Source organism: Homo sapiens, chromosome 19, assembly GCF_000001405.40.
Source record: "Homo sapiens chromosome 19, GRCh38.p14 Primary Assembly".
NCBI classification, from domain to species: domain Eukaryota; kingdom Metazoa; phylum Chordata; class Mammalia; order Primates; family Hominidae; genus Homo; species Homo sapiens.
Window position 1 is genome coordinate 50,492,078 of NC_000019.10, and position 19,159 is coordinate 50,511,236.

At 57.5% G+C, this 19,159-nt stretch overlaps 1 protein-coding gene across 5 annotated transcripts, besides 8 other annotated features; it reads right to left on the bottom strand.

The window, feature by feature from the left end:
- Positions 29-88: an enhancer, noted in NCBI's record as "active region_14990". NCBI's record gives its function as "activates an Ori minimal core promoter by ATAC-STARR-seq in GM12878 lymphoblastoid cells {active_cell/tissue: GM12878}" and the evidence as "EXISTENCE:reporter gene assay evidence [ECO:0000049][PMID:35858748]".
- Positions 129-208: an enhancer, noted in NCBI's record as "active region_14991". NCBI's record gives its function as "activates an Ori minimal core promoter by ATAC-STARR-seq in GM12878 lymphoblastoid cells {active_cell/tissue: GM12878}" and the evidence as "EXISTENCE:reporter gene assay evidence [ECO:0000049][PMID:35858748]".
- Positions 8,244-8,293: a silencer, noted in NCBI's record as "silent region_10969". NCBI's record gives its function as "represses an Ori minimal core promoter by ATAC-STARR-seq in GM12878 lymphoblastoid cells {active_cell/tissue: GM12878}" and the evidence as "EXISTENCE:reporter gene assay evidence [ECO:0000049][PMID:35858748]".
- Positions 8,394-8,443: a silencer, noted in NCBI's record as "silent region_10970". NCBI's record gives its function as "represses an Ori minimal core promoter by ATAC-STARR-seq in GM12878 lymphoblastoid cells {active_cell/tissue: GM12878}" and the evidence as "EXISTENCE:reporter gene assay evidence [ECO:0000049][PMID:35858748]".
- Positions 9,254-9,917: an enhancer, noted in NCBI's record as "H3K4me1 hESC enhancer chr19:51004588-51005251 (GRCh37/hg19 assembly coordinates)". NCBI's record gives its function as "activates a minimal SCP1, AML or CMV promoter by ChIP-STARR-seq in naive H9 embryonic stem cells {active_cell/tissue: H9 hESC(naive)}" and the evidence as "EXISTENCE:reporter gene assay evidence [ECO:0000049][PMID:30033119]".
- Positions 13,921-19,114, bottom strand: JOSD2 (Josephin domain containing 2). 5 transcript variants are annotated; one of them, NM_001270640.2, is made up of 5 exons: positions 19,040-19,114; positions 18,209-18,368; positions 15,497-15,622; positions 14,301-14,495; positions 13,921-14,195 (listed from the first exon to the last, which is right to left on the bottom strand). In NM_001270640.2, exons 2-5 carry the CDS (start codon positions 18,352-18,354, stop codon positions 14,096-14,098), a joined length of 567 nt encoding a protein of 188 aa, NP_001257569.1. In that variant the 5' UTR covers positions 18,355-18,368; positions 19,040-19,114; the 3' UTR covers positions 13,921-14,095. The 5 variants fall into 5 exon arrangements, with proteins under 5 accessions (NP_001257569.1, NP_001257568.1, NP_001257615.1 ...); NM_001270639.2 differs by having other exon boundaries at positions 18,209-18,371; NM_001270686.2 differs by having other exon boundaries at positions 18,998-19,114.
- Positions 17,787-18,294: an enhancer, noted in NCBI's record as "H3K4me1 hESC enhancer chr19:51013121-51013628 (GRCh37/hg19 assembly coordinates)". NCBI's record gives its function as "activates a minimal SCP1, AML or CMV promoter by ChIP-STARR-seq in naive H9 embryonic stem cells {active_cell/tissue: H9 hESC(naive)}" and the evidence as "EXISTENCE:reporter gene assay evidence [ECO:0000049][PMID:30033119]".
- Positions 18,295-18,801: an enhancer, noted in NCBI's record as "H3K4me1 hESC enhancer chr19:51013629-51014135 (GRCh37/hg19 assembly coordinates)". NCBI's record gives its function as "activates a minimal SCP1, AML or CMV promoter by ChIP-STARR-seq in naive H9 embryonic stem cells {active_cell/tissue: H9 hESC(naive)}" and the evidence as "EXISTENCE:reporter gene assay evidence [ECO:0000049][PMID:30033119]".
- Positions 18,966-19,095: a silencer, noted in NCBI's record as "silent region_10971". NCBI's record gives its function as "represses an Ori minimal core promoter by ATAC-STARR-seq in GM12878 lymphoblastoid cells {active_cell/tissue: GM12878}" and the evidence as "EXISTENCE:reporter gene assay evidence [ECO:0000049][PMID:35858748]".

Here is a 19,159-nt window from a genome sequence, read left to right on the forward strand (position 1 = left end):
GAGAAGCGCCAAAGAGAAGCCACCAGGAGCGTGTGGAGGGGAAGCCAGGTGGAACTCACTGAAGGTGCAGGGAGAGGAAGGGGAGGCAGGAGTGAGAGGAAAGAGGAGAGGCAAATCCAAGGGACAGAAACTGGAGGCAAAGGAGGCAGAGGAGGGAGGGAGACCAAGGGCACAGGCCCTAACCACAGTGCTGCCCCTTGTCCCCGGCCCCCTTGTCTCCTTCTGACACAGTCGGTTGCTGTGGACGGGCACAGTGAGACTGGGGCCCCATCAGCGCCTCCTCTGGGGGTTGGGTACAGACGATGAGGAAATGACAGGGCGGGGATGAGGAGGAGGACCTAGCGCAGGGGAAGGAGAGGGCAGAAGACAGTGGGGGGTGGCAGTCTGGAGGACAAGGGAGAAGATTCCAGAAAGGCTGAGAGCCACAAGGTGGACAATCAGGAAAAGGTGGGGCTGGGTGGAAGCGTGTGGAGGACTGGAATATCGCCCAAGGGAGGAGCAGTGTGTGCAAGACCTAGAGAGGAGGAAACACTGAGGATCCAGCCGAAGAGAGGACACACAGGGACAGGGACAGCCTGTGTGTGTGTGTGTTATGGATAGGGGGAGGAGGAGGGGGGAGAGGAAAGAGGAGGAGGAGAAGGAAGAAGGAGGAAGAGGAAAGAGGAGGAAGGGGGAGGAGGAGGAAAGGGGGAGGAGGGGTGAGGAGGAGGAGGAAAGAGGAGGAGGAAAGAGGAAGGAGGAGGAGGGAGGAAGAAGAGGAAAGAGGGAGAGGAGGAGGAAAGGGGGAGGAGGGGTGAGGAGGAGGAGGGAGGAGGAAGAGGAAAGAGGGAAAGGAGGAGGAAGGAGGAGGGAGTAAGAGGAAGGAGGAAGAAGGAGAAGGAAAGATGAGGAAGGAGGAAAGAGGAGGAGGTGGAGTAAGAGGGAGGAGGAGGTTGCGGTGAGCTGAGATCGCTCCATTGCACTCCAGCCTGGGCGACAGAGCGAGTCCCCATCTCAAAAAAAAAAAAAAAAAAAAAAAAAGGGAATTTGGGGGCATGCAGAGACAGGAACAGAGTGGGAGCAGGGGTTGGGGGAGAGATTCAGAGAATGGGAGAGAGGAGAGGGCGAGAGAGACAGAGGAAGGGGGTCACAGAGGAGAGGTAGAAGGAGAATGGGGAGGGGCAAATCCTCTTTCCCGCCCGAGCCTCAGTTTCCTCATCTGCTCCCTCAGGTGGTGAGGAGTCCAGGGACCACCCGCCAAGTGTCTGCAGGGCAGGAAGGCCTGCGGAGGGGAGAGGGAGGTGGAGGAAGGAGGCTCAGGCTTGAATCCAGTGTGGTGACTGGCAGCAGAAGCGTCCCCTCCATGGGCACGGGCTGCCTCTCAGGCTCAGATTCTAGAGTGTTCCTTCCTAGAGTCCCTCCAGGCCTCCTTCAGCCTCCCCCACCCCACCCTGACCTGGGAGGGAGTAGCCATTGTCGTCCACATATTTTTCCAAGGGAGAAATCAGGCTGCAGCCCACATCCTCCTTCCTCCTCCTCTTTCCTGCAGCCCCGCACGGTGTAGCTGGCCACCCCTTCTAGGGCTGTGGCGGCTGAGGGGAAAGGAAGGGGCTAAAGAGAGTCGCCTTGGTACACAGTTGGCGCTCAATTGGTGCCCTTCCCCTTTCCTAGGGGAGAGCACAGAGAGTAGGAAGGCAGAGAGAGGAAGAGAAAGGGGGAATCGAGGGTGAGAAGGGGAGGCTGTATCTATAAAAAGCCTGGCACACAGTCGGTGCTCAATAACTGCCCAGGCCCTTCAGGACCACATGAAAAGGGAGAAGAAGAAAGTCCCGCAGAGCAAAAGCAGAAGGAGAGGCAGCCTAAAGAGAGGGACATAGAGCCAGGCACGGTGGCTCACGCCTGTAATCCCAGCACTTTGGGAGGCCTAGGCAGGTGGATTGCCTGAGCTCAGGAGTTCGAGACCAGCTTGGGCAACACGGTGAAACCCCGTCTCTACTAAAATACAAAAAATTAGCCGAGCATGTTGGTGGGTGCCTGTAATCCCAGCTACTCAGGAGGCTGAGACAGGAGAATCGCTTGAACCCGGGAGGCAGAGGTTGCAGTGAGCTCAGATTGCCCCCCTGCACTCCAGCCTGGGCGACAGAGCAAGACTCCATCTCAAAAAAAAAAAAAAAAAAAGAGAGAGAGGCACGGGTGGAAAGTGTGAAGCAGACCAGTAGGTGTTTGTTAAGTGTTATTTCTTTTCCCCAAGAGACAGGAGAAAGTAAAGGAGGAGTGAGGAGAGGAGGAAGAGGAGGAAGAGAAGGAGGAAGAGGAGGAGGAAGGAGAAGAGGAGGAAGAGAGGAGGAGGAGGAGGAGGAGGAGGAAACTCCAGCAGAGAGAATAGAAGAGACTGTTGTGTGGGAAGGAGACAATATATGTAAAGTGACTAATACACAGTGGGTGCCTAATAAATGCCCATTCTCCTCCCTGGCAGCAAGCACAGAGAAAGCAGCCAGGAGGAAGGGAGCAAGCGGAGAGAAGGAGAAAAGGAGAGAAGGGAGAACAGAGCCTGTGAGGCAAGCAGACAGTGTAGATGAAGCGGCAGCATACAGTAGGCACTCAATACATGCCTATTTCCTCCCTCAGGAAAGAGCTGGCAGGGCAGAGAGGAGGGGGAGAAGCTGGTGGAGAGAAGGAGGCAGGGAGAAGAGAGGAAATGAGAACAAGTACACTGGTGAGGTGGTGGGCACACAGGAGGCACTCAATAAATGCACATTGTCGTCCTTGGAGGAGCAAGAGAACAAGACAGAAATGAAGGCACAGACAGGAATGAGAGGAAAAGGTTGGCCCAGGAGGCCTCCGTGGGGGTGGAGGAGCAGAGGGAGGAGGGATCAGTGAGAGGAGTGTGGCAGAGGAGAGGATACGCAGGGAGGGGGCATTGCAGGTAAACCATGGGGCACACAGGAGGCACTCAATAAACACCTGTACCCTTCCCCAGAAAAGGACCCAGAGAACAGCAAGGGGATAAGCTGGCAGAGCAAGAGGGGCAGCGAGAAAGAGGTAGGAGATGAGGAGGGATGTTAATTGCCTGGCATACAGTAGGTGCCCCATAATTGCTTGTCTTTGTCCCCGAGAAAGAGCCGATGGGACAGAAAGAAGTTAGAGATAAGGGAAGAAGGCGAAGTGAAGGGTTAGGGGAGAATAAGAAAACTGTCTGGCACACAATAGGTACTCAATAAATGCCCATTTTCTTCCCTGGCACAGAGCAGAAAGAAGCAGAGACTGGTGGAGTCAGTGGAGACTGAAGGGCAAGAGGAGAGGAGAGAAAGGACATAATTGCTTGCATACCAGAAGTGCTCAATAAATGTAGTCCTTGCCTTGGAAGAGGGCAGAGAGCTCAGAAACACAAGGAAAGGACAGAAGAGGGACCGGGGAGGAAGAGAGTGAGGAGAGAGGTATGTAAGGTGTTTAGTACACAGTAAGTGCTCAAAATGTGTCCACTCCCTCTGCCAGGAGAGAGCAGAAAGTCAGAAAGGAGAGGACACCAATAGAGAGGAAAGAAAGGGGCCAGGCGCCGTGGCTCATGTCTGTAATCCTAGCACTTTGAGAGGCAGAGGTGGGAGGATCGCTTGAGCCCAAGAGTTCGAGACCAGCCTGGCCAACGTAGAGAGACCCTGTCTCTACAAAAAATACAAAAATTAGGCTGGGTGCGGTGGCTCATTCCTGTAATTCCAGCACTTTGGGAGCCAAGGTGGGTGGATCACCTGAGGTCAGGAGTTGAAGACCAGCCTGACCAACATGGTGAAACCCCGTCTCTACTAAAAATACTTAAAAATTATCCAGGCGTGGTGGCGGGTGCCTGTAATCCCAGCTACTCGGGAGGCTGAGGCAGGAGAATCGCTTGAACCCAGGAGGTGGAGGTTGCAATGAGCTGAGATCACGCCATTGCACTCCAGCCTGGGCGGCAAGAGCAAAACTCCATCTCAAATAATAATAATAATACAAAAATTAGCCAGGAATGGTGGTGTGTGGAGTTCCAGCTACTTGGGAGGCTGGGGTGGGAGGACTGCTTGAGCCCAGGAAGTCGAGGCTGCAGTGAGCTGCGATTGTGTGCGCTCCAACCTGAGCGACGGAGTGAGACCCTGTCCTAGAAAGAAAAAAAGAAAGAAAGGAATGGGGGTGGGGGGAGGAAAGAAGGTAGCGAGAGAGGAGCCATGTTCCTCAACTCCTCGGCGCATAGCAGATGCTCAGTAGATGCCCGTTTCCTTCCCAGGAGAGACCAAGCAAATCAGAAAGAGAAAGGAACTGGGGCAGAAGGGACAGGAAAGCAAGAAGGATGGAAAGTGCAGACGCGGTTAGGGGAATTGCCTGCCAAGCATCAGGTGCTTAATAATTGCCCGTTTCTTCCATGGAAGGAGCCAGAGGCACAGGAGGAACAAGTAGAGGGCGCCGAGGACGGCACACCCGAGGCGGGCACACCCGAGGCGGGCACACCCGAGGACGGCACACCCGTGGCGGGAGACGGAGTGTGTGAGGAGAGGCGAGGAGGCATTTTGGGTGCATACAGCAGGTACTCCATAAATGCCTGTCCCCTTCCCCAGGCAGAGCAGAGAAAGCAGGCTGGGAGTAGGTGGAGACCCCAGGAAGGGAGGCCAGGGGAGAAGGAGAGTCTGAGGGTGGAGGCCGTGGGCCAGGCCCGCAGGAGGTGCACCTTCCCCAACCCAGCAGCCGCTGTGGCCGACCCTCCTCCGTGGCCCAGCCCACAGGCCTCCCCAGCTGGCTGGCTCCTCCGGAGCCCTGACAAGGGCCCATTGTCCTGGGCCTGGCACCGCCTGGCCTGGCCTGGCCTGGAGGGGGAGGGGAGGCTGTCCAGCCCTGACCGGCTCTTGTCCCCTGTGTCTGTTTGTGTGTATTGGAGTGGGGGCGCTGTCTGGTCTGTCTGTCTCTGAGTCTCTCTGTGTCTCCCTGTCTCTCACGTGCTGTGTCTCTGTGACCTGCTGTCTCTCTCATTTCTGAGCTTACGGCCCCCATCTTGTCTCTGTCTCGCTCTGTCTCTCTCTGTCTCTTTCCGTGCCTGTCTCTGGTTCTCTCTCTGCATCCATCTCTGTCTCTGGGAGGGAGGAGCCCCCACCCCCAGCTCCAGAATTCCCACCCCCTATACCCAGGATCAGGGCTGGGGGGCCGAGCTGAGAGGCAGAGGAGTGAGGAAGGAAAGAAGGAGGCGCAGAAGGGAGAGAGGTGAGGACAGAAACAGCTTTATTCAGCAGGGACCGCAGAGGCCCCGGAGGGCTTCGTCCAGGGAGCTGGGGAGAGAGGAGGAGTCAGAGACAGGAGAGACAGACAGAGATGGAGAGAAATGGGGGGAGAGACAGAGACAGAAATGGGGGTAGAGACAGAGACAGAGAGAAATGGTGGGAGAGAGGCAGAGAGAAGTGGGGGACAGTCAGAGATAGAAATGGGGAAGAGACAGAGATAGAAGTGGGGGAGAGGCAGAGACAGAGAGAAGTAGAGGAGAGACAGAGATAGAAGTGGGGGAGAGACAGAGAGAAGTGGGGGAGAGACAGAGACAGAGAAATGGGGGAGAGACAGAGATAGAGGAAGTGGAGGAGAGACAGAGAGAAGTGGGGGAGAGACAGAGACAGAGAGAAATGGAGAGACAGAGATAGAAGTGGGGGAGACAGAGACAGAGAAGTGGGGGAGAGACAGAGAGAAGTGGGGGAGAGACAGAGATAGTGGGGGAGACAGAGACAGAGAAGTGGGGGAGAGAGAGATAGAAATGGGGGAGAGACAGAAGTGGGAGAGAGACAGAGATAGAAATGGGGAGAGACAGAGACAGAGAGAAGTGGGGGAGAGACAGAGATAGAAATGGGGGAGAGAGACAGAGAGAAGTGGGGGACAGACAGAGGCAGAGAAGTGGGGGAGAGTCAGAAATAGAAATGGGGGAGAGACAGATAGAAATGGGGAGAGACAGAGAGAAGTGGGGAGAGACAGAGAGAGAAATGGGGGAGAGACAGAGATAGAAGTGGGGGAGAAACAGAGACAGAGAGAAGTGGGGGAGAGAGAGACAGAGAAGTGGGGGAGAGTCAGAGATAGAAGTGGGGGAGAGACAGAGAAGTGGGGGAGAGGCAGAGAAAGAAGTGGAGGAGAGGCAGAGACAGAAGATGGGGAGAGACAGAGATAGAAGAAGACAGAGAGAAAGAGACACAGAGATACAAAGCCAGGGAGAGACAGAGAGATGGGGAGAAAAGGGAGAGTAAGAAAGAGAAACAGGGGGTGCTGAGGGAGACTGAGAGAAAGTTGGGGGGAGGAGACAGAGACACAGAAAAGAGGTGGGAGGAAGAGACAGATGAGACAGATGGAGAGACAGAGAGAAACAGACGAGAAGGAGGAGAGAGAGATGGAGAGAACGATAGGGAGAATGAGAGACAGAGACAGTGAGGAGAGGGAGATGAGGCAGGAGAGGAGATAAAGAGAACTGGGGAGAGGGACACAGAGAAAGACAGATGGGGAGAGAGACAGAGACAGGGAGAAAGAGAAGGAGAGAGAGACGGAGAGAGAGAGGAGAGAGGGAGACAGCGGGAAAGAGGGGGAGAGAGAGAGACGGAGAGAGGGAGACGGAGAGAGAGAGACAGAGGGAGAGAGAAAGAGGGAGAGAGAGAGTGGGAGAGAGAGACAGAGGGAGAGAGGGAGAGGGAGAGAGAAAGAGGGAGAGAGAGAGAGAGGGAGAGAGAGACAGAGGGAGAGACGGAGAAAGAGAGGGAGAGAGAGACGGAGAGAGAGAGACAGGGAGAGAGAGACAGAGGGAGACAGGGAGAGAGAGACACAGGGAGAGAGAGAGAGAGGGAGAGAGAGAGACGGAGAGGGAGAGACGGAGAGAGAGACAGAGGGAGAGAGAGACAGAGAGAGGGAGAGAGAAGGAGAGAGAGAGAGAGAGGGAGACAGAGACAGAGAGAGACAGAGGGAGAGAGGGAGAAAGAGAGAGAGGGAGAGAGAGAGACGGAGAGAGACAGAGGGAGAGAGGGAGAGAGAGAGACGGAGAGAGAGAGACGGAGAGAGGGAGAGAGAGAGACGGAGAGAGAGACAGAGGGAGACGGAGAGAGAGAGACGGAGAGAGGGAGAGAGAGACGGAGAGAGAGACAGAGGGAGACGGAGAGAGAGACAGGGAGAGAGAGAGACGGAGAGAGAGAGACAGAGGGAGAGAGGGAGACAGAGGGAGAGACAGGGAGAGAGAGAGACAGAGGGAGAGAGAGAGACAGGAAGAGAGAGACAGAGGGAGAGAGGGAGACAGAGGGAGAGACAGGGAGAGAGAGAGACAGAGGGAGAGAGAGAGACAGAGGGAGAGAGAGACAGGGAGAGAGAGACAGAGAGAGAGAGGGAGACAGAGACGGAGAGAGAGACAGAGGGAGAGAGGGAGAAAGAGAGGGAGAGAGAGACGGAGAGAGAGAGACAGAGGGAGACAGAGAGAGAGACAGAGGGAGAGAGAGAGAGAGGGAGAGAGAGACAGAGGGAGAGACGGAGAAAGAGAGGGAGAGAGAGACGGAGAGAGAGAGACAGGGAGAGAGAGACAGGGAGAGAGAGACAGAGGGAGACAGGGAGAGAGAGACACAGGGAGAGAGAGACAGAGGGAGAGAGAGAGACGGAGAGAGAGAGACGGAGAGAGAGACAGAGGGAGAGAGAGACAGAGAGAGGGAGAGAGAAGGAGAGAGAGAGAGAGGGAGAGAGAGACGGAGAGAGACAGAGGGAGAGAGGGAGAGAGAGAGACGGAGAGAGAGAGACGGAGAGAGGGAGAGAGAGAGACGGAGAGAGAGAGACAGAGGGAGACGGAGAGAGAGACGGAGAGAGAGAGATGGAGAGAGAGAGACAGAGGGAGAGACAGGGAGAGAGAGAGACAGAGGGAGAGAGGGTGACAGAGGGAGAGGGAGACAGAGGGAGAGAGAGACAGAGAGAGAGAGAGGGAGACAGAGACGGAGAGAGAGACAGAGGGAGAGAGGGAGAAAGAGAGAGAGAGATGGAGAGAGAGAGACAGAGGGAGACGGAGAGAGAGACAGAGGGAGAGAGAGAGACGGAGAGAGAGACAGGGAGAGAGAGAGACAGAGGGAGAGAGGGAGACAGAGGGAGAGAGAGACAGGGAGAGAGGGAGACGGAGAGAGAGAGGGAGAGAGAGACGGAGGGAGACAGCGAGAGAAGACGCGCGGAGCCTTGCGGCAGGAGGTCGAGGAAAGAACAGCCCCTCTCACCTGGCGTCGGTGGCAGCTGAACCCTGGGCCCGACTGTGCGATTTAAGGGGTGCCCTGGGGGTGAGACCGCCCCCCCACCCAACTGCCTTATCTGGCCAGACCCGGCTCTGTGAGCTAAATCGGGCAGCAGCTGTCACCACCAGGGGGTGTGGGACAGCTGTCCCCCTCCCCCCGCACCTGCCCTGCGCCTGCCTCTTGACCACAGCCCCTCCCTCTCCCTTTCTGCAGCCTGGGGGTGTGGAGAGGCCACTGGCATCTGTGCGGGGCGCCCCAGCCCCCTCAGCTCTGGGACAGGCCTGGCCGGGTGCCCTGGGGCAAGCGGTAGCCCTCTGAGTCCTGAGGCGCTCCCCTGGGAAGAGCAGTCCCAGCGGGTGGGGGCACAGGCGCTCTGCACTGTGAGGGGCAGACAGTAAGTGCTTAGTTGATGCAATGACCTGGTCTGTCCTGCCCGCTCTCACCTGCCAGAATATGGGGGTTGGGGCAGGAGGGAGTGGGAGCAGGAGGAGGTCAGCTGGCCCCTCTCCCCCCACCCCCAGCGCCCCCAGCTCCTCCTCCCGGGGCTCCTCACTCCGGACCTTATTTGGCCATAGCCCAGGACGCACCTGGGGGCCACAGCCCCGCCTGCCACTCAGGCCCAAGAATAGCAACACTCAGGCCCCCGCCAGTCTGTCTGGGACCTGCGATGGGACAGGCGACAGGCACAGGGTGGCAGGGAGGGGCCCAGGGGCACTGAGAGAAGGGGAGAGACACAGACAGAGGGGAGAGACAGCGAGCTGAGGAGAGACTGAGAGAGACCGTGGGAGAGACAGAGAGACAGGGTCAAAGAGACAGAGAGGGGTGGAGAGAAATGCCCAGCAAGAGAGATAGAGAAGGGAGGCTGAGACAGGCGAAGCGAGAGAGGGAGACACAGAGACAGAGGGGGTTAGCCAGGGGCCCGGGGCCAGACACCCAGATGGGGCAGAGAGCGAGACCCACACCAGCAGAGGCGTGGGGAGCCCGGTGGGCGGGCAGGAGGTGCAGGGATCTGGATGGGATGGGGCCAGAGCCGTTCGGGAGTCTGCAACCCCCAGCAGTTTCCCCTCCGGTGCTGTCTGGCTTTTAACTTTACGACCTGCCCTTTGACCTTGGGAAAACTTGCAAACCAGAACCTGCCACACCCTGGTCCATGCGCAGCCAGGGCTTTCATGAGTGTGTCCTGCGGGGCATCAGCTCCACCTTGCCAGGGGTGCATGGGCAGCTTGTGGGCTGCCTGGATGAACTGCCTGCCTGGGCGCATGGGCCTGTGGCTCCAGGAGGGGACACACCCCAAGCCAGGGACCCCTTGCCTCCCTGTGCCTGAGTCCCCCACTTCTGCAGGTGCCTAACGGGGATCCCCAGGTTCATCCAGGCCCCTGGACACCTTCCACTCATTCCTGCCTCCTCACCTCCCAGGGCCCACCAGCCTCAGACCCTCCTCTCTGTCGCCCTCAGGGGCCTAGCTCAAGCCCTGCCTCGCCCCTCCCAGCCTCCTCCCGGGCCTCCTGGCTTCTGGTTCCCCCTCCATTCTGTGCCTGCAGCCCCAGAGGGGTCTCTGCACCCAGAGCTGACCTGTCCTTCCCTTCTCGCAGCTCCCAGGCTGCCCTTGGAGGTCCCGCCTGGTTGGGTTCCTGGCCGGGACCCACCCTCCTCCTTCATCACCTCCTCAAATAACTCTGGCGATAAACAGCCGTGGCGTTCCAGGTCTCATCCGGGATGACTTCCAATTCTGGAGTGCCCTCCCGTGCCCCGCCAGCCTCTGCAGAGCCCTCCTCAGCCTTCCGTGGCCAGCCTTGTCTCTGGGCCATTTTATGCGACTTGCTTGTCCCGGGGTCCCTTCTCTGTTCTCTCGTCCCTGCAGTGCTCTGTGGGAACCCCATAAAAGCCCCCACTGCTGGGACAGAAACTCTTGGTGTCCCCTTGGGTCTCCCCACAGGGTGGGAGCTGGGAGGGTGGGCCGACACTTCCCGTCAGCACAGGCGTCCCTCCTCCGCTGTGGGGACCCTCGTGATGACCCGGGGCCCACCGGGGGATCCAGGACACTCTCCCTGTCCCAGTCCCACTCGCAACCTCACTCTCCCTTGGCCAAGTAACACAACATATTCACAGGCTCCAGGGATTAGGACAAGGCATCTTTTAACTGTATTTATTTTAATTAATTTTTTTTTTTGAAATGGAGTTTCACTCTTGTTGCTGAGGCTGGAGTTCAATGGCGCGATCTCAGTTCACTGCAACCTCCGCCTCCTGGGTTCAAGCGATTCTCCTGTCTCAGCCTCCCAGGTAGCTGGGATTACAGGTACCTGCCACCATGCCTGGCTAATTTTTTTTTTTTTTGAGACGGTGTCTCACTCTGTCACCCAGACTGGAGTGCAGTTGGTGCGATCTCGGCTCACTGCAACCTCCGCCTTGCAGGTTCAAGCAATTCTCCTGCCTCAGTCTCCTGAGTAGCTGGGATTACAGGCATGTGCCACCACACCTGGCTAATTTTTGTAATTTTAGTAGAGATGGGGTTTTCACCATGTTGGCCAGGATGGTCTCAATCTCTTTACCTTGTGATCCACCCACCTCAGCCTCCCAAAGTGCTAGGATTATAAGCGTGAGCCACTGCACCTGGCCTAATTTTTTGTTTGTTTGTTTGAGATGGAGCCTCACTCTGTCACCCAGGCTGGAGTGCAGTGGCACGATCTCCACTCACTGCAAGCTCCGCCTTCTGGATTCACGCCATTCTGCGTCAGCCTCCCCAGTAGCTGAGACTACAGGCGCCTGCCACCATGCCTGGCTAATTTTTTTGTATTTTTAGTAGAGACGGGGTTTCACCGTGTTAGCCAGGATGGTCTCAGTCTTCTGACCTCATGATCCGCCCGCCTCGGCCTCCCAAAGTGCTGAGATTACAGGCGTGAGCCACCGTGCCTGGTCTATTATATTTATTTTTATTTATTTTTTTGAGACAGGGTCTCACTCTGTCACCCAGGGTGGAGTGCAGTGATTCGATCATGGGTCACTACAGCCTCGACCTCCTGAGCTCAAGTGATCCTCCTGCTTTTGCCTCCCAAAGTGCTAGGGTTACAGGTGTGAGCCACCATGCCTGGGCTATTATATTTTGAGACAAAGTCTCTCTTACTCACGATCATGGCTAACTGCAGCCTTAACCTCCTGGGCTCAAGCAGTCCTTCTGCCTCAGCTTCCCAAGTAGCTGTGATTACAGGCGCAGGCCACCACGTCCCACTTATTTATTTATTTATGAGACAGAGTCTTCCTCTGTTGCCAAAGCTGGAGTGCAGTGGTGCAATCTCGGCTCACCAAAACCTCCACCTCCTGGGTTCAAGTGATTCTCCTGCTTCAGCCTCCCGAGCAGCTGGAATTACAGGCGTGCACCACCACACCTGGCTAATTTTTGTAATTTTAGTAGAGATGGGGTTTTCACCATGTTGGCCAGGCTGGTCTCGATCCCTTTACCTCGTGATCCACCCACCTCGGCCTCCCAAAGTACTGGGATTATAGGCGTGAGCCACGGCACCTGGCCTATTATTATTATTATTATTATTTTTGAGACGGAGTTTCACTCTGTCACCTAGGCTGGAGTGCAGTGGCACGATCTTGGTTCACTGCAAGCTCTGCCTTCTGGATTCACGCCATTCTCCTGCCTCAGCCTCCCCAGTAGCTGAAACTACAGGTGCCCACCACCACGCCCAGCGAATTTTTTTGTATTTTTAGTAGAGACGGGGTTTCACCATGTTAGCCAGGATGGTCTCAATCTCCTGACCTCGCGATCTGCCCGCCTTGGCCTCCCAAAGTGCTGGGATTACAGGCGTGAGCCACCGTGCCTGGTCTATTATATTTATTTTTATTTATTTTTTTGAGACAGGGTCTCACTCTGTCACCCAGGGTGGAGTGCAGTGATTCGATCATGGCTTACTACAGCCTCGACCTCCTGGCCTCAAGTGATCCTCCTGCCTCCACCCCCCAAGTAGCTGGGATCACAGGTGTGCACCACCATGCTTAGCTTATTTTAAAATTTTTTGTAGAGACGGGGTCTCACTATGTTGCCCAGGCTGGTTTCAAACTCCTGAGCTCAAGTGATACTCCTGCTTTTGCCTCCCAAAGTGCTAGGGTTACAGGTGTAAGCCACCATGCCTGGGCTATTATATTTTTGAGACAAGATCTCTCTTACTCACGATCATGGCTAACTGCAGCCTTAACCTCCTGGGCTCAAGCAATCCTCCTGCCTCAGCTTCCCAAGTAGCTGCGATTATAGGTGCTGGCCACCATGTCCCGCTTATTTATTTATGAGACAGAGTCTTCCTCTGTTGCCGAGGCTGAAGTGCAGTGGTGCGATCTTGGCTCACCAAAACCTCCATCTCCTGGGTTCAAGCGATTCTCCTGCCTCAGCCTCCTGAGTAGCTGGGATTACAGGCACCCGCCACTACAACCAGCTAATTTTTGTATTTTTAGTGGAGATGGGGTTTCACCATGTTGGCCAGGCTGGTCTTGAACTCTTTTTTTTTTTTTTTTTGAGACAGAGTCTCGCTCTGTTGCCCAGGCTGGAGTGCAGTGGCACAATGTTGGCTCACTGCAAGCTCTGCCTCCCGGATTCATGCCATTCTCCTGCCTCAGCCTCCCAAGTAGCTGGGACTACAGGTGCCCGCCACCATGCCTGGCTAATTTTTTTGTATTTTTAGTAGAGACGGGGTTTCACCGTGTTAGCCAGGATGGTCTCGATCTCCTGACCTCGTGATCTGCCTGCCTCAGCCTCCCAAAGTGTTGGGATTACAGCCATGAGCCACCGCGCCTGGCCAGTCTTGAACTCTTGACCTCGGGTGATCTACCCGCCTCGGCCTTCCAGAGTGCTGAGATTACAGGCGTGAGCCACCAGCCTCACATGCCACTTATTTTAATTTTTTTTTTTTTTAGAGACAGGGTCTTGCTATGTTGCCCAGGCTGGTCTCATACTTGTGGACCTCAGCCTCCCAAAGCACTGTGATTACAGGCATGAGGCACCACATCTGGCCAGGGTGTGGACATCTTTGGGGCCACTGTTCTGCCCGCCTGCCAATCAACGGAATAGAATCGAGAGTCAAGAAGTAAACTCAGGCATGGTGGCTCACACCTATAATCCCAGCACTTTGGGAAGCAGAGGCAGGCAGATTGCTTGAGGTCAGGAGTTCAAGACCAGCCTGGGCAACAAAGCGAGATCCCATCTCTACAAAAAAATTTAAAGAAAGTAGTCAGGTATGGTGGCATGCACCCGTGGTCCCAGCTACTTGGGAGGCTGAGGTGGGAGGGTCGCTTGAGCCCAGGAGTTCAAGGCTACAGTGAGCTGTGATTGACCCACTGCACTCCAGCCTGGGTGACAGAGTGAGACCCCTGTCTCAATCAATCAATCAAATAAAGAAGTAAACACCTGCTTTCTCCTTAGCAATGACCCCCGTGGAACCCAGGAGATCAAACTCATTTGTTTGCCACTGGTCTCTCTCCAGCACCGGAGGAGCGTGAGCCCCAGGGGGCACGGACTTGTGTTTTTTTCTGCTGTGTCACTGATGAGGAAACTGAGGCCCAGCAGTGAGAAACTGGCATGAGGTGGCAGAGAACCAGGAGGCCTCCTGGGCTCTCGGCCCCACACACCAGGGTGTCTGGCCTGTAAGGTAAGTGGGAGTCACTGAGTGGAAGGGGCCCCAGAAGGGTGGGGCCGTCAGACACAGGCCAGGCAGGCAGCAAATCAGCAGATTTATTGAGGCAGCAGCGGCAGTGGGGAGCAGGGGTGTGGGGAGGGGGCGGGGCCTCCCCAGGGTCCATGAAGTGCTGGCCTTTCCCAGGCATGCAGTGTGCGCAGCCGGAGGGGGATGCGCAGGGACTGCGCTGTGGGCGCCGATGGTCAGCCATGGTCAGTCTGTCCGCAGCCAGCTGCCCTTCTCCTCCACCTCCTTGGTCACTACCAGCAGCACCTCGCACAGGCCCTGGGCCAGCGCAGCCGCCAGGAAGGCCCTGGGTGGGAGAAATGGGGAGACTGAGGCTCGGCCAGCCTGGGCATTCCGTCTGGGGAGTGGGGTTTCAGGCCCCTGGTCTTGGAATCGCCTCTGTGGGGCTCACCTGACTCCGTCCTCATCCCCCAGGGCCTCGGGCGCCCGCAGCTTGGAGTCCAGGTTGTAGTAGACACCGTCCACCTGGCGCAGGGCCACCCAGTGCCGCCGGCGCAGCGGCAGTGACAGCAGCCCCAGCGACACGGGCGAGGGCAGGTTCAGGATCAGCCCCAGTACCTGGGGCAGGGCCAGCTGGGACAGGGGCCTGTGTGGGCAGGGAGGGGACACTGCCATCAGGGCCTGCTCCGCCCGCCGGTGAAATGTTGCTGAACATGTGGGGCCCAGGCTGGTGGTGGTGAGGGCCTCCTGAGCCCACCCAGAGGTGTTCCTTAATCAGCCACCCTGGTTCCCGACACTCATCCGTTCACCTGCCCACTCAAACCTCCCACCCATGCGGCCACCCAACCAGACCTCCCACCCACCCACCCACCGTCCACCCACCCACCCACCGTCCACCCAACTCACATCGGCCCTTCACCAACCACCATCACCCTGTCTGTCCAGCCACCCACCCACCAACTTACCAACTCCTCACACAGCCACCCAGGATCCATGCATGATCCGCCCACCCCACTGAGCCTCCCAGCCACCAGCCAACTTCCCAATGACGATTCACACACTCACCTCCCATCTATGCATTCACTTCCATCCCTCATATACACCCGCCCCACCTCCCCGTCAACCACCCAACCACCATCACCATCCAACTAGCCATCTACTGTTCACCACCCACCACCCACCCACCCACCCACACAGCCGGCCACCACCCAGCCAGCCATTCACCCAACAGTGGACTCGCCATGCCCCCAATCCTCACTCACTCTTGACCCCCCTGCCATTGGTCTACCCCTCATCCACCAGCCACATGCCCAGCCACTGGCCAGCCGGCCATCAAAACTTCCCATTCATCCACCCAACTCCCCAGCCTCCTGTCTGCTGCCCATTGCCCAGGAACACCCATCACTTCACTCCCCCTGACCCAACACATCCAACGGCCTACTCAGCATTCACCCAGTAACCATCATCCACCCAGCATCTCAGCCCATCGACCACCTGATCTCCCCCTTTCAACCCATCAGTGCCAGGCTTCCCACATTCATGCCAACCTCCCCCAGCCACATTCCCCTCCCTGCCCCCCAACAGGCTCACACTATAGGGTGCCCTCTGTGCCCGGCCCAGCACATGCTGTGCTGCTCTGGGGCCTACCTCCTCCTGTCCCACCACACGGCGGCCAGGCCCAGCCCCTGCAGAGCGGCCATGATCACATTGACATCATAGTTGCCGGTGCCCAGGAGGCTGCGATGAGGGTTCAGCCGGGAGTCTGGGGCCAACCTGGTAGTGGGGGTGGCCAGAGCTGAGGTGGGGACCCCTGGAAAGGCCTCCCCACAAAATGGGGGTCCCAGGGGCCACAAGTTGCCTCAGCCTTTGACTCTCCCCGCTTCAGACCCCACAACTCATCCACCCCCAAGTCCTGCCTCTCCTGCCCCAATTCTGCCCTGTCCCCAAGTCCTGTCTCTCCTGCCCTGACTCTGCCCTGTCCCCAAGTCCTGCCTCTCCTGCCCCGACTCTGCCCTGTCCCCAAGTCCTGCCTCTCCTGCCCCAACTCTGCCCTGTCCCCAAGTCCTGTCTCTCCTGCCCTGACTCTGCCCTGTCCCCAAGTCCTGTCTCTCCTGCCCTGACTCTGCCCTGTCCCCAAGGCCCCAGATGGGCTCTGTCTTCTCCCGCAGCCTCCAGCCTCCCTCCAGTCCATTCCCACACGGCCCTGGCCCTCTCCTGCTCTCAGCTCTCCCATGGCTCCCCAATGCCTTGGACAAAGTCCCTGTCCCTCCGCCAGTCCCTTCCTCTGTCCTTCAAGGCCCACCTCAGATGTCACGTCCTCTGAGAGGAGCCTCCTGACCTCCAGGCTGGATCGGGGCCCTGTCTGGGCTCCCCCAGTGAACTGAGCCACCTCAACGATGACAGCTGCCCGCATCACCCTGATTTAACACTGCTTGCTTCTCCCACGGGGTTGCCCTCACCCCTCCCCTGCTCACAGCCCACTCTGCTGCCTCATTTCCCCCAGGACAGAGTCCCACAAGGCCCTGCGTGGTCTGGCTCTGGTGGCCTCACCTCAGAGCCTCAGCACCCTCCTTCCTGGTCCCCTGTCCCCAGCCACATCCCCGGTGCCCACCGCCTCCCGCCCCACCCCCGCCAACCTTTCCTCCAGCTCTTCCCCTGCCTAGGAAGGCTCTTCCGCCTGTCACCACTTGTCTCTGGGCCCTGCCTCTGAACAGCTGCACCTCTGTTCCCTATCTGGACCCTGGGCAGGCAGGACATGGGAGGAAAACGCTCGTGTGTGTGTGTGTGTGTGTGTGTGTGTGTGTGTGTGTGTGTTTCCCTCACCACCCTTAGGCTGGCACTTGTGTCTGAGTCATCTCAGGGTCTCCAGCATGGCTTTTGTATGAAAGAGCTGATGGGTCCTTGTTGCGAATGATAGAGGAGATGACTAAATACCATAATAATCAGTCTGAGGGGCTGGGACTCTTAAGATGTCCGAGAGCCGGAGGAGGCTTGGAGCAAGAGGCAGGGGAGGCAGGGCCATCTCCAGGTGTAGAAAGACTCTCTAGGATCAAGTGGGGACTGAAGGCAGGGACAGACTGGAGGCCATGGGCAGGCTGGGCAGGAGAGGGTCAGGCCTGAGCTGGGGCCAGGGACATGGGGACAGAGAGGAGGGAGTGAGAGATGGTAAAGGAGTGATTTTTTTTTTTTTTTTTTTTGAGACAGTCTTGCTCTGTTGCCCGGCTCACTGAAACCTCTGTCTCCCAGCTTCAAGCAATTCTCCCACCTTAGCCTCCAGAGTAGCTGGGACTACAGACATGTGCCACCACGCCCAGCTAATTTTATTTTTTATTTATTTTTATTTTTTAGTAGAGACGGGGTTTCGCCCTGTTGGCCAGGCTGGTCTGGAATTCCTGACCTCAAGTGATCCACCCGCCTCAGCCTCCCAAAGTGTTGGGATTACAGGTGTGAGCCACTGCGCCCGGCCAAAGAGTGATGTTGGACATTGTGAATAGTGAAGAGGAACATTCCATGCTGGCAGAGAAGGAAGCCATGCCGGGCAGAAAGAAGTACCTGGAAGCCCAGAGGCCGCACAGAAGGGCTCACGGGAGTGGAGAGTCTGGTTTGAGGGGGGCCGTGAGGGCTGAAGATGCGGAGGCAGGCTCGGCCTCCGCTATGAGGAGGGCCCTGAGTAGGGCGGGGGCGTGTTTAGGATGGACTGGAGAGCTGTGACAGGGCCCAGATAAGAGATGCCTGAAGCTGGGTGAGCCTGTAATCCCAGCTACTGGGGAGGCTGAGGTGGGAGGATCACTTAAGCTCAGGAGTTCAAGACCAGCCAGACCTTGTCTCTAAAGAAAGAACCACTGGGCCGGGTGCAGTGGCTCACGCCTGTAATCCTAGCACTTTGGGAGGCCGAGGCGGGTGGATCACGAGGTCAGGAGATTGAGACCATCCCGGCTAACATGGTGAAACCCCGTCTCTACTAAAAATACAAAAAATTAGCCGGGCGTGGTGGCGGGTGCCTGTAGTCCCAGCTACTCGGGAGGCTGAGGCAGGAGAATGGCATGAACCCGGGAGGCCGAGCTCGCAGTGAGCGAGATCGCGCAACTGCACTCCAGCCTGGGCAACAGAGTGAGACTCAGTCTCAAAAAAAAAAAAAAAAGAAAGAACCACTGGATTGAGGTCTGGCTGGGGCTGAGGCCACAGGGACAGACAGGCACAGGAGGCAACATCTCCCCAGAGTCCCAGCGTCTAGCTTAGGCAAGTGAGCGCGGAGCAGAAGAAAGCCCCCAAGGCTCAGCGCCTGCCTGGCGGCGAGACCCAGGTGGGTCACTCCGCCAGAGCTCTGCTGCTCCAGGGGCTGGGGTGGGTGACGGTCACCTCTTGCAGATCTCATCGGCAGCCTCCTGGCTAAAGAGCTGCTGCTGCAGAACGTTGTTGAGGGCGTGGACAGCACACAGCTCCAGGCGCTGCCGTTCGTGGTACACGGTGGGTGGGCTCGGCTGTGCTCCCGGGGCCTGGGACATGCCGTCCTCGGCTCCTGCTGGGGGTTGGGAGGGGGAGAAGGTCCTCAGGGGCCCGGGATCTAGAGGTCCAGCCTCCCAGCAGGCCTTTGGGGCATCGCCATTGATTGAGCTGGGACTCGGAGCAGCCCAGGAAGACACTGGGCCCCTGACCCCGCTCCCTGGCAGTCTCCTGGCAGCACACGTCCCTCCATCCCTTATTCCTATTCCTACGAAAAACGCTGTCTCTTCTGCTCCCCTAGCAACAGAAAACCACCCTCACCAGGTCTCTAAGTAAAAGGGTCCCTATCATGGTCACCTAGCAACAGAGGAACCTGCCTCCCCGTCCCTAGGTAACCAGGGCGCTCTGTGGTTACCTAGCAACAAAGCCCCCTCCCCACCGCACTAGGTAACAAAGTCTGTCCTCCGAGCACCTAGCAATAGAGAATCCTCCTCCCCTGTCTCTAGGTGATAGGGTCCCCTCTGGTCTCCTAGCAACAGAAGACTCCCCTTCCCCGGTCATGTAGCAGCGAGGCTCTCTGCTCTTGTCACCTGGCAACGGGGCCCCCTCCCCAGTCACTAAGCAACAGGAGTTCCTCTTCCTATCACCCAGCAACCAGGCCCCCTCCCCGGACACCAAGGAATGGAGCCCTTCGCCGACCCGCACCCCAGCCACGGCGCTCGCCCTTTGCCTGGCAACGCCCCTCACCCCGCCTGCCTCTCCGCTCCACCGAGCCAGGGGTTTCCGCATCCCCTTCCTGGGCGGCGGCTCTGGGCTCCGAGTGCGGGGCGGGCAACACCGCGCTGACTGGGCAGGCGGGACGGACTA